General features: G+C 34.6%; 1 protein-coding gene across 16 annotated transcripts in view; it reads left to right on the plus strand.

The window, feature by feature from the left end:
- PTBP2 (polypyrimidine tract binding protein 2) overlaps positions 1-13231 on the plus strand; it is a 101956-nt gene that overhangs the window by 41694 nt on the left and 47031 nt on the right. For all 16 annotated transcript variants that reach the window (NR_125357.2, NR_125356.1, XM_011541876.3 and 13 more), the window contains 2 exons: positions 6226-6398; positions 7231-7374. Coding sequence is in view for 14 of the 16 variants with exons in the window: in XM_011541876.3 (XP_011540178.1) it covers positions 6226-6398; positions 7231-7374 (317 nt within the window). In the remaining 2 variants the exon portion in view is untranslated. The remainder of the gene's footprint in view (positions 1-6225; positions 6399-7230; positions 7375-13231) is intronic.

The following is a 13231-nucleotide window of genomic DNA, read 5'->3' on the forward strand; positions in this document are numbered from 1 at the left end:
TGAGGCAGGAGAATCAGGCAGGGAGGTTGCAGTGAGTCGAGATGGCAGCAGTACAGTCCAGCTTCGGCTCGTCATCAGAGGGAGACTGTGGAAAGAGAGGGAGAGGGAGACCGTGGGGAGAGGAGGGAGGGGGAGGGGGAGGGGGAGGGGGAGGGCTGTTCTGTTTTTTTAACTATGCTTTAGGGATGATATATAATGTACTTCATGACCAAGGAATCAATCTAATCTTTTTGTAATGATGGCATAAAATTCCTTTAAGCCTTGTTTTAATACAAGAAGTCAGTTTATTTAACCTCCATGTACAGAGGAAATACTGAGTTTTAAGATTTTTCTATTTTTTTTCTGACAAAAATGAAAGTCTGCATATATTCTAAGAGACACCAATTTGAATACTGTTGCTTATAAGAGCAAATAGCATAAAAGACCTTTAAAAATTGGTGATTATATTTGCCTGGAAAAATACTCCATGTAATTCAGATGACTCAAAAGGACGTTGGTAGACAATGTTACAAGGACACTTTTATGGTTATCAGATATAGTACAGGATTTCATTTTTATGTTCCAGCTTCCAGCTTTATCTAAAATATTTCTTGTAATAGATTTTACTGTAGAATTGTTTCCTAAGGCATCTGTCTCAACAGCCTTTCCCTTATCTGTGCAGACTTTTCTTTCTCTGTACTTGTTGAATAGGTGCTTTTTGTCAAAGAAAAAAATAATTTTACAGGTGAAAAAATTTCATGTTATTAGAAACTTAATCTCAGGTAAATAAATGTTTAATAAATTGATACAGTAAGGACATTTTCTAATGAATTGGTTCCTTCAAGAGATATAAAAGTGAAATATTTCAAAAATACAACTGTTCCTAAGTAGCATTAGAATTTGATTTTGTTAAATTTGTAACTATTTAGCAGTGACTATGAGGCTTGACAATTCTAAGGTACAGTCTCTTTAATTTTCTAGTGATTTCTTTGTAGCTACGGAACTGGAATATCCCTTTAGGTATACATATTTCTGCCAGTGGTGATTGTTACTCTGTAATAGCAGGATTTTCTGAAAATTATTGCTAAACATGACATTTTGCTCTACCTGAAAGCAGTTAAACCATTCCATAGAGTCTGGAACATTTTACTTAGAACTCTTTTAAGATTTTCATTTTAACTTTTACAGACATATTTTTGAGGTGATGTCATTCTTTTTGCTATAATGTTTTGAAAGTATTCCAGTAGATTATTTCATAGTTTTACTATTTATAAAGGTTTTAACAACTCATCTTCTTGCATATAAAGGTAGTGAGAGCCTTATTTCATAGTGTTACTATTTATGAGGGTTTTAACAACTTATCTTCTTGTATATAAAGGTAGTGAGAGCCTTCTCTAGGTGCCTTCTGTGTTTTTCCAGCTCATGCCTAATATGCTTTTGACAACTACACCACACAACTACTTGGAAATACAAGAGTTAATAGTTACCTTTTACGGAAACCTGGTGAGGCTTTTTGCGTGGTGGCTGTTGCAGAAACAGCCAACAGAATAGCAGAAGTACCACCTATCTGCACCTACCTGCTTTTTTTCTCTTTAACTCTTCTTTGGAATTTGTTTCTCATACAGGAAAGAGTAGCAGCATTCATTTTTTTTTTCTTAGCTTAGAGTCTTTTTATTTTGTTTTTTGTTTTTCTAAAGCTAGAAAACACTGCTTTGCCTTGAAGTCTAAAACTGCTTAGAATTAAAACTTCTTTGCCTCTCAGTTTCATATTTGATAAAGAGAGTTAGGAAAACTTTTATAAATGTGTGTCTCTGAAAGACTTGGAGAATGAAGATGTACCTAAGTTTTGTCACTGATTTTCATTGGACAGAAGTATAAGGTTTTGCCGTGTCGTATTTTATATTTGTACACAGTTGAAAGTATAACGGTGAATGAGTAGGACTAAAATAATTTACAAATTATATGAGAAAGTAGGCCAGGTGCTGTGGCTCATGCCTGTATTTCAGCACTTTGGGAGGCTGAGGCAGGTGGATCACTTGAGGCCAGGAGTTCGAGACCAGCCTGGCCAACATGGTGAAACCCCATCTCTACTGAAAATAGAAAAATTAGCTGGGTGTGGTGGTGCACACCTGAATTCCCAGCTACATGGGAGGCTGTGGCACGAGAATCACTTAAACCTGGGAAGTGGAGGTTGTAGTCAACCAAGATCATGCCACTGCACTCCAGCCTGGCAATACAGCAAGACTCTGTCTTAGATAGATAGATAGATAGATAGATAGATAGATAGATAGATACTGTGAAACCCAGTGCTAGAGTGTTTATATTTAATAAGTAAAGATAGGTAGAGTATCGGAACAAAAACAGCATGGGAAACTAACAATTTTGGGGAATGAATGAGTAATCAGGATTCAAAGCAAGTATCAAATGAGTCGGGAAATTAGAAAAGTAGAAATTGAAGTTTTTAGGGGTGCTATTAGAGAAATTCAGTGAGGAAGAGAGGGTTCACAGTTCCTTGTTGACTGATGGATGTGGTGATTTAACAAATTACCCATGATCCTTGCCGACACCCATTTATGTAAAAATTGCAGGTAAAAGCTAGTGGAGAACAAAGGTCAGTCAGCAGGAGAAAAGTGATGTACTGATCAGAGGTGAAGATGCTGGCTTTAGAATTGAGGTGAAAAACTGGTTTTGAGTTTGGAAGAGAAGTATTCAAGTAGAAACCATTTTAAAATTTTATTTGCTTTGAATCCGTGATTACATGAACATCTTCCCTAAGCAAGAGGCTTTGAAAGAGTTGAATAATGTATGGAAAATGGTGTGCTTAAAGATTTTTTACATTCATATACAATGAATAAAATTTATATGCATAAATAAAAGCATTACCTCATGCCTTCTTAACTGAACATAAACATTTGAATTATTACTGGTTTTACACGCCCAAACAAAAGTTCTGGGTTTACTGGAGGAATGGAAGGGAAAGATCTCTTTCATTCCCCCAGTAAACCTTTCCCATTCAGGATCATGGGAAGATGCTGAAGAATTGTAGAACTGTAACACAGGCAGACCTAATGCTTCATAAGCTAATGTTTCCATTTTTGGACCCTTTTTCGGTGTTGCTGGAGTGTGTTTATATTTGAAAATAGGCTTTGTTATATTATTAAAGGAGCCCCCATTCCCAGTTTCACATTCTCATAGTATCATTTATTTAAAATGAAGACTTTTATAATATTTGGCACTAAGATATGAATACTTAGTAGTCACCTCATGGAAGCTATTAACTGAGGGAGTGTCAGGTAGTGTAAATGTTGATAGTTTACTACAGTAACTGGCTTGGTCTTTGGGAGAAGAGGACAGATCTTTTTTAGGCAACCTGTATGTAATGTAATGTTTGTTTTTGAGATCCTACTATAGTGTAGTTGTTGAAGAGCACAGACTATGGAATCATGCTCCCTGAGTTTAATCCTTTCTCTGCTACTTCCTGTCTATACCACTTAGTAACTATCTAATCTTGGGCATTTAACTAATTGTTACCTGTAAATGGGGTTGATAGGTCATAATGATAGCAATCTGAGAGTTGTAAATTGCCCGGCATGTAGTTAATTAGCAGTGAATATTAAATATTGATGCAAAATAAAATTACATCTTTTCTATATTTTTTCCAAGAAGTCAAGATCTTTGTCTTATCCTTTGATTCTCAGAAGTTTCCTACGTTCTTTCTGTGTTATTCAGCTATTTTACTTCTGCTTAATATCCACTATCCAGAAAACATCCAACACAAATCCAAAATAAATTATTTAATTTCCTTAATAATAGGTTTAGGCAGGCTTTTGCCTTTTGGGAATTATTTTTGGAAAATCATTTGAAAGGGGAAGCCTTTTTTCTCCTTATGGGTACAGTGATAGGTAGTATCTTTATTGGTCTTTTTTTTTCCTTGTCTTTCTCCCAGAAGGAAAAGGACAGACCAAATTAGGAGAAACTGAAATTTGCTTTTTTGAGTATCCTGATACCATAACTATAACACATGGGGCTTTAGGTTGGATTGTGAAGTATTTGTTCTCGTTATTCAAACAAACTAATGAACAAGAACAAATTATCAAGTTTCTGTACTCAGACTGCTTTGTCAAAAAAAGGTCTTAGTCCTGTATCAGAATAATATGTGTTCCTTGTTGACTGATGCCGATTGTTGTGTGTGCCCATTATGTGTTTTAAAGTATATGTGTATTTTTTGGATTCTGTGCTTTAGCTTACATTTTCAATTAACGGGCCTAGAGATGATTTTGTTAGATAAGATACTACAAAATGCAAAGTTCAGTCTCTTCCTTTTGACAAATTCAGGTGCCCTGTGCGCACACAAATCTTTGTCAGTAGTGAAAGGACATGTGATAGCTTCCTGTAGTTTTTTCATATTTCTGGAGTGGTGAAGAGCTACCCAGCCAAGATTTTCAGGGCAATATATTCAGAAGCCAGAGCTTACTCTTCTGTACAAAGACAACCTAAGGGGATTTTTAAATGCATTGGCTTGCCGTTCAAGTATATAAACCTAAGTGAAACTCCTAGAGTAAAATATGACTTAAGTATAGCTTGAGTCCATATATTATCACTTAGAGATACCTTCTCTGATCATCCAATAAAGTCATTACTACTATCAATCTTCCAGTCCTAGACAAAGTAACTTTTAAGCACATCACTGTTTTACCTCACAGCATATACCGTAGAAAGTATCTGGTTCAGGTACTAGTTAGTCCAGCTCCCTACTATAAGGTATCAGGAATCATATAATCATCTTGTTCACTCTCTGTACCCTCAGAACGTAAAACATTGCTAGACACATCCCTGAATACCCAGTAAATGTTTAAGGAATTAATGAGTGAATTAATTTTGAAGATACGTTGGAGACCAAGATAATCTGACAGTCTTATAGATGTTGTTGAACATACACAAACACATTATATAGTTTATAGGTTGTGTTGAATGTTTTAGGAAATACCATAAATTACCTAAAGTTTTATACAAAATGGAGTATACATGTATATTTCTGAATGTGTCAAGATCCTTCATTTTAGCTAAGTCTCAGAAATATCCTTGAGATCCTAAAAGACTAAGAACCATTGATCTGGCATAGTAGATATACTGCAAGTCCTTCAAACAACTGTATTTAAATATTACCTATTTTATAGGCATTTTGAATAATATTTTTATTTTTTGGTGAAGTTTTGGAATGAAGACAGTTAACTAATTTGTTGATTGAATTATGTTACTTTACTTTAAATCTCACGGTAACAGAATAAGGTAATTAAGTTCATGAGTGATTTAGAGTATATTGATGTTAATAGTCACAAAATATTAGGTAGTTTAGACGGCAATAGTAATATATCAGGAGAGGCTCATTGTAGATAAGCCATAATATGGATTGACTGCATTATCATTTTTATAAACTTTACATTCTTTGATCCCACCTTCAAGTACATTTTTCAAATCAAACAATTTATAATTTCTCAGGTAAAATTATAATCTTCCTAATTTTGGTCAAACCAGTTTTTTCACTTTTTAAAAATGTTCATATTAGTTCATTATAAGATGATTAAATTACAAGATACAGTCATAAATCTTGGGGATAGTGATGAGGATACTCTCGGAGAAATGCATTGTTAGGTAATTTTGTCACTGCATAAATGTCATAGAGTACATTTGCACAAACCTGCTACACATGTAGGCTATATGGTATATGTAGCCTTTTGCTCCTAGGCAACAAATTTGACAGCATGTTACTGTTCTGAATACTGGAGGCAGTTGCAACACAGTAATAAGTATTGATGTATCTAAACAGAAAAGGTACAATAAAAATATGGTATTATAATCTTATGGGACCACCATTGTATATGTGGCCTGTCAATGACCAAAATGTAGTTATGTGGCACATGACTGTGATTGTATTCTTTAGTCATTGGACAGTTTCTTTATGAGATTACATTTTAATGTTGTTGCTTATTAATAATTACTCTTTATAATACTGTTAAGAAACATTAACAGCAATCTTAAATAGTTGATAATTTCATTTAATAATAATAGGTGGATATGATTTTATTCCTTTGAAAGCCTGGCATTTGAATTTTCAAGAATTATTTAAGTATTCTCAGCTATGTTTTTAAGTTCTTTTTGGAAATTTGTAGTTTTTTTACACAAATAGGAAAATTCATACATTCTTTTATTGTTGATATATAAGGACTGTTTTTTAATGTCTTTCAGCCAATGGTAATGATAGTAAAAAATTTAAAGGAGAAGATAAAATGGATGGTGCTCCTTCTCGTGTACTTCATATTCGAAAATTACCTGGGGAAGTAACAGAAACTGAAGTTATTGCTTTAGGCTTACCTTTTGGTAAGGTGACCAACATCCTTATGCTGAAAGGAAAAAATCAGGTACACTTCTTTCAGGGTTTATGAAATGTTAAACCCCAAACTATCCAGCAGGTGTGAATTAATTGTAAAAGGGAGAAAATAGTAGGTTATTTTTCTTAAAGAACAGAAGTCTTATTCTCACTTTTTCGAGTAGATGTCTGTGGGAAACTAATGCTAGGTAGCCAAAGTGAGTGAATCACTATAGTTTTTAAACTTTGTCTTTTGAATTGACTTTAGGGCTCTAATTGAATAATTGTTATGAAATTGTGGAAAATACAAATGAAGTATTTCTTTTACTGTGGCTCTGTTCTTTGGTATCAGAAATCAGCAGGGGTACTAGTCGCATCTTTCCTTAAGCTTTATGAGAATATGAAATTTTATTTAAAAATGTTAAATGATACCATTTAGAAGAATTTATGAAATTTAACACTCCCTTTTATATACTTGAGGTTAATCTGACATTTAATTTGTAATTTTGTTCTTTGTCTCTATATAATTATACTGCTTTTAAAATGACTTGGAAATCTTACATTCTCTAGGGTAGAAGTGGTAAAATTCTGATGCTAGAAAATGTTTACATTTTCTCTAGCATTTGTTGCAAGAATAGATTTGTGGGTGTGAAAAATCATAGGTGGAAGGCAGAAGCAGCGTGTACTCGGTTTTCTTCTGAGGTTAGCTTTAACTGTATACCTAAACTTCAACAAGAGATTTCTAATTCTGCTTATCAGAACATTTAAAAGTAACCTGAAGGATTATATTCTAGATAATTGATTAAAATCATCTGAATAGATTGCTTAGATATTAATTTTATTTGAATTTATAGTATTAAAAATTGTGCTACTTAAATTTTCAGGCATTTTTGGAACTAGCAACCGAGGAAGCAGCTATTACTATGGTTAATTACTATTCTGCTGTGACACCTCATCTTCGTAACCAACCAATATATATCCAGTACTCGAATCACAAAGAACTAAAGACAGATAATACATTAAACCAAGTAAGTATGTGTAGGTACATAAATAAAATGGCCTAGAACATATTATGAATCTCATAAACATTAATAGGAAGGAAATGTTTACCTGTTCAGATGTTCCTTATAGGCATTTTCTTGTTATTTTTAAGGTATTTTCATGCAGAATGTTTCTAAGTATTAAATACTATGTCATTTTGAATTCCTTTAATCCCCTGGTCAAATGTTCTTTTTCTTGTTGCAAGTTAAAATTTTTGTGTAGAAACTTATCAGGTAGGATTTATTATTAGCATAAACTGTTTATACAACTCTCCTGCTTAGAATTTAAGGTAAGAAGTTCAGTGCCTTTGGTTATTTGATTTTTTTTATAGGTCTTAATTTCTTACGGAAAATTTTTTTTTGAAGATGTGTTAATGGTTTTCCTGGAAAAGAAATCTTAAGGATGAAGAATATGTGAATGTATTGATGTTTTAAAAATGTAATATAGAAGATATTGTTTAAAATTAATGTATTCAAAAATAGCATTAGAATGTTTTCCGACCTACATTATAAGACTGCTGTAATGATCTAAAACTTTAGCTGTTTTAATATAGTTTTAAAACTAATGATATCTTTCTCTGTCAGTAAAATACAAACTTTTTCTTAATAAAAATGTAATGGAAAACTGTTCCTCATAGATTTTTGTCACTTTACAAAGTGACAAAATCATTTTGTTAGTTTATGGAAAATAAGCTTGTAAAACTTTTTACCTAAAAGATAGGACTGAAATTTCAGCTTTTTTAATTTGATGATGAGTTTTTAATTTCTTTTGAAAAAGAATGTATGCTTCTAATAATTTATCAAGAGGAAGAATACCAAAAGAAAATATCTGCTCTTCTTTCTTTTTACTTAGATTTTTTTGCATTTTTAACTTATTTTTAACAAATAATTGTTTATACTTATGGTGTACAATGTGATGTTTTAATACATATATATTATGGAATGATCAAATCTGGCTGGTTAACATATTCATCTCTTCAGTACTTACAATTTCTTTATGGTAAGAACATTTAAAATTCCTTTAGCTATTTTGGAAGTATACAGTGGAATGTGGAAAAACTGTTTTTCCTCTGCTCACACCACAACAATCAACACAGAAGGCTTCTGTGGCCTCAAATGTGGGGGAATTTTTTTCCACGCCAAGCAAGCAGTCAGGTCTGCAGTGTTCTCCAACTTAGCTCAGTTTCAACACTGTCTGCCGGGAGATAGCATCAGATCCCACAGGTTGAGGGCTCAGTCCCACAAGATCTCCTGAGACACCAGCAAGTCAGGCCTCTGGAACTTCTGATTGACCAGCTTCAAGTTGGGGTTCCCACAACCCCCTTTTTGGATTTCATTAATTTGCTAGAGCAGCACACAGAACTCAAGGAAACATTTACTGAGATTTACTAGTTTATTATATAGGATATTAAAAAGGATAATAAGCCTCTAATCATGCCTTGATCTTTCAGGTGACCAGTCCCCATCTTAAAGTGGGGCTGCCAGCCATCAGTCAACTCATTAGCATACAAAATATATCATTTTGGAGATTTATTAGGAATTTAGAGTTGTATGCCAGGAAATGGGGTTGAGGACCAAATGTCTATTTTACAATGTCACAATACAGTATTATGCATTACAGTAGTTGCCATGCTGTGCGGTAGATCACCAGAACCTATTCTTCCTGTCTGAAACTTTGTACTTTGACCATCATCACCCCTTCCCTGTTCACTCCTCCCTCCCCCAGCCTCTGGTGACTATTTTTCTACTCTCTACTAATGTGAGTTCAGCTTTTTTAGATTACATATGTAAGTGAGATAATGTGTTATTTGTCTTTCTTTGTTTGACTTATTCACTTAGCACACACAGTGTCCTCTTAAAATGACATTTAATATCCCATTTCTAGTTCGTTATTATTTAAGTAATTTGCAAGTACATTCTCATTTTAAAAGATTAAACGAAAGGAACATGTAAAGAATAAAGCTGGGGGCTGGGCTTGGTGGCTTATACTGGTAATCCCAGCACTTTGGGAGGCTGAGGCGGGTGGATTACCTGAGGTCAGGAGTTCAAGACCCGCCTGACCAACATGGTGAAACCCTGAGTCTACTAAAAATACAAAAAAAAAAAAAAATTAGCCAGGCATGGTGCCAGGTGCCTGTAATCCCAGCTACTTGGAGGCTGAGGCAAGAGAGAATTGCTTGAACCCGGGGGGGTGGAGCTTGCGGTGATCCCAGATGCGTCACTGCACTCCAGCCTGGGTGACAGAGCGAGACTCTATCTCAAAAAAAAAAAAAAAAAAAAAAAGAGTAAAGCTGAGGCCTACACATGGATGGATGTGGAGGAGGGGCACTTAGGATGACTAGTGGAAGCCCCATTGAGAGGGGATATTTGAATAATGAACTTCAAAGTGGTTAGGGAATAAGCCACTTATTCCAGACAGAAGGAATAATCAATGCAAAGTTCCTTCTGTTGAAAAAAATGCTTTTATAATTTTATTTTTCATCTTCTAAAGCCCTTCAGTCTCCTTTGGTCATCTTTTTTTTGTAGTTGGTTATGCCTTAACAACAGTACTTTGAGGATACTAGTTACAGTATTTAAAAAATACGTCACTATATGCTGAGTTATTTTTTCAGTGTTAGCATTTATGTTTATCTTGTTCTCATTCTCTTCATCCCCCCTTTGTTGTCTTTTCGTGTTTCAGAATGGACAATTAGATTTTGTTAAAGTTGTATGCTTTCCTCTAGGATAAAGTAATGAAGAGCGTTTACTAAGCTGTTACCCCCATTCCCCCCAAATACCAAAGAGGCTCTTATTCTGGGTCAACAAAACTCCCTTTAGAATTTCTGGTACCAGGCTGTGCGTGGTGGCTCACACTTGTAATCCCAGCACTTTGGGAGGCTGAGGTGGGCGGATCACGAGGTCAGGAGATCGAGACCATGGTGAAACCCCGTCTGTACTAAAAATACGAAAATTAGCTGGGCGTGGTGGCGGGCGCCTGTAGTCCCAGCTACTCGGGAGGCTGAGGCAGGAGAATGGTGCAGACCCAGGAGGCGGAGCTTGCAGTGAGCCGAGATCGCGCCACTGCACTTCAGCCTGGGCGACAGAGCGAGACTCTGTCTCAAAAAAAAAAAAAAAAAAGAATTCCTGGTACCAGCAGGGCACTTTGGCTCATGCCTGTAATCCCAGCACTTTGAGAAGCTGAGGTAAATTCAGGGCAGCAGTGAACTGGTCACACCACTGCACTCCAGCCTCAGCAACAAAGCAAGACACAGTCTCTTAAAAAAAAAAAAAGGAAGAAATTCTGGTTCCTTTAAGGGAGATTTGTTGTTGTTTTCTTCTTTTAATGGTGAGGGTACAAGTTGGTCACAGGAGGGAGAAGAGAAATTTAGCTCTTTTGTTAATGAACTAGACTTTCTGTTCGTCTGTTTTTCACCCACTCCCTCCTCCTGTGAACCTGCCAATTTCTGATTTGGTTCCTGTGGCTGCTACCAGTATAACACCTGTTTGCTGTGTGTTCACTGTGTCTCCAGTCCATTTGGTTCCATTCATTTTCTGTGTTCCAGGAATTTGATAAAATTATTCTCAGCTAATGATAACCTTCCCTCCCTTCAGTGTTTGTTTATTTTATATTCATTCACTTCTAGGCATTTTAATAGAGTTTCATAATAGAAGACATGCAAATGAGTATGCATTAACCATGAATTCTTTCACATCCGTTCATGAAATCACCAGGTCCTATTAGTTCACACTTTTTAATTATCTGCCTGGTTTTCTCCATCTTTCCTGCTACTTGTATTGCTCAAACACACTCACCTGTTGGCTATATTACTACGACAGTTCTCTTTATAAACTACTTTCTTTTTCTTTTCCCTTCTGGAATTTTTTTCTCGCTAGTACAGCCAGTACGTATCTTTCTCAAATGCACATATCTAAGTTACTCCCATGCAGTAGGTCCTGTTCATGCTCAGGCTAAAGGCCCTTTCTGAGCTTACTACTTTTTGTCTTGTCTTATGACTACTCCCACCCTATTTGCTTATGCTTCTGTCCCAAAAGTAATGGTGCATCCTGTAACCTGGCATGTTTTCTCTTGATGTCAGTCGTTTGCTGCCATTATGTCACTGCTCTCATGCATGGAATATTGTGGGTTGGCCTGCCTTTTGCACCACCCTTCCTCCACCTCACACTTCACATGGCCAGTGTTAAATATCTTGAGGTCTCCCTTTAGCTATTTCTTCTCCTAAAAGCTATCCCCTGATAAGCAAAGAGTAGATTAGGTTTGGATTGAGAGTGTTAACTCCGAATGAGATACTGCTATGCACATAACCAGAGTGGCTAAAATTAAAAGGATAGGTAATAAAATACTGGTGACAACCATTTTTGAAAACTCGAAATATCTACTAAAGTTGAGCATATAGCTATTCTTTGATGTAGTAAACTCGCTCCTAGTTAACATACCTGAGAACATGTACATAGGTATGTTAAAAGATATGTACAAGAAAGTTCATGGAACACTGTATGTAATAGCCCAAAAAACTATAAATCATCCAAATGTTCAACAGCAGCAGAATATGTTGTGTTGTATTCATTTAGTGGAATATTGTATAGTAATAAAAATGAACAAGCTACTGCTGCCTGCAAAACATGGGTAGTGTACATCATAATTATTGGAAGAAGCCAAACCAAAGTAGAATACATCTGATATGATTCCATTTATGTAACTTGGAGGAAGCGTGAGTATGGCTTCTAGAGTGTTGATAATATACTGTTTTTTATCTGGGTAATTATTTCACAGAGATGTCCAATTTGTGGTATTTTATGGAGCTTTATACTTAGGTTTTGTGTCCTTTTGTGTGTGTGTGTAATATTTTGATAAGAAGTTTTATTAAAATCTAGGTTTGCAAGCCAACACTGCTCCATGAATTATAAGAAAAAATATATGAAGTCATTAAAAATGAAATCATAAAGAAATGTATGAAGTAATTTGTTACTGATGTGAGAGAACATGATTGTTAAGCCATAAAAGGAAGATAGAGAACAATGAATAGTATTAAATAAAAGTATGAATAGTATTGAATAAAAATATGAATAGTATTGAAAAAAATACAGACTAAGTATAATATTTATATATATATGCTTGTAGATGTAGCTAGTATCTCTGGAAGGATATCGAAGATAATACTGTGAGGGGTTGGTAGGGGAAAATAGACTGGGTGACAGAGTTGCAGGGGAATTTTTAATCTTTAATACCACTTTTATACCATGATCATGGATTCCTATTTTAGAAAACATTTTATTATTTGAAGCAGATGTTAGTGTTTTTCTAAGTTGTGGTAGTCTATGCTTGTTATTATAGATAAATACAGTAAGAACATGTTCACTAATGAAGAAGATAATATTGCAATGAGCTACTTAAAATATTTAAATACATTTAAACATTTGAATAGATACTGCTCTATAAAACTAATTTTACCAATTTACAATTATTTTTTCAATAATAGTATCAAGATGTCTACTAAAATAATCTATCACATTTCAAAATGTTGAGTTTTAATTAGTAAGTCATTTTGACTAATACATAAATTTATAGATAAAATTAAGTAGCATTTAAATGATTGTTTAGATATATATCTGGACTCTCAAGCCGTGTGATCTGTGGTTATATAATATTTTAGTAAAATGACTTTTCTTGTTTATTCTCCTGAGTGTCCTAATTCTTTTGTATTCTCTTTCATTAACCTGTTGATATAGATTTTTCAAACTGTAAACCTATGTATAGGTATTTGTGGTATTTGTCATTGTTATATTTTAGAACTATTTGCCTTTGTATGTTTTTTGACCACAGATAAGGTAGAAAGAAATTATTTCC

The sequence above is a fragment of the Homo sapiens genome, chromosome 1 (genome assembly GCF_000001405.40).
Source record: "Homo sapiens chromosome 1, GRCh38.p14 Primary Assembly".
Classification (NCBI taxonomy): domain Eukaryota; kingdom Metazoa; phylum Chordata; class Mammalia; order Primates; family Hominidae; genus Homo; species Homo sapiens.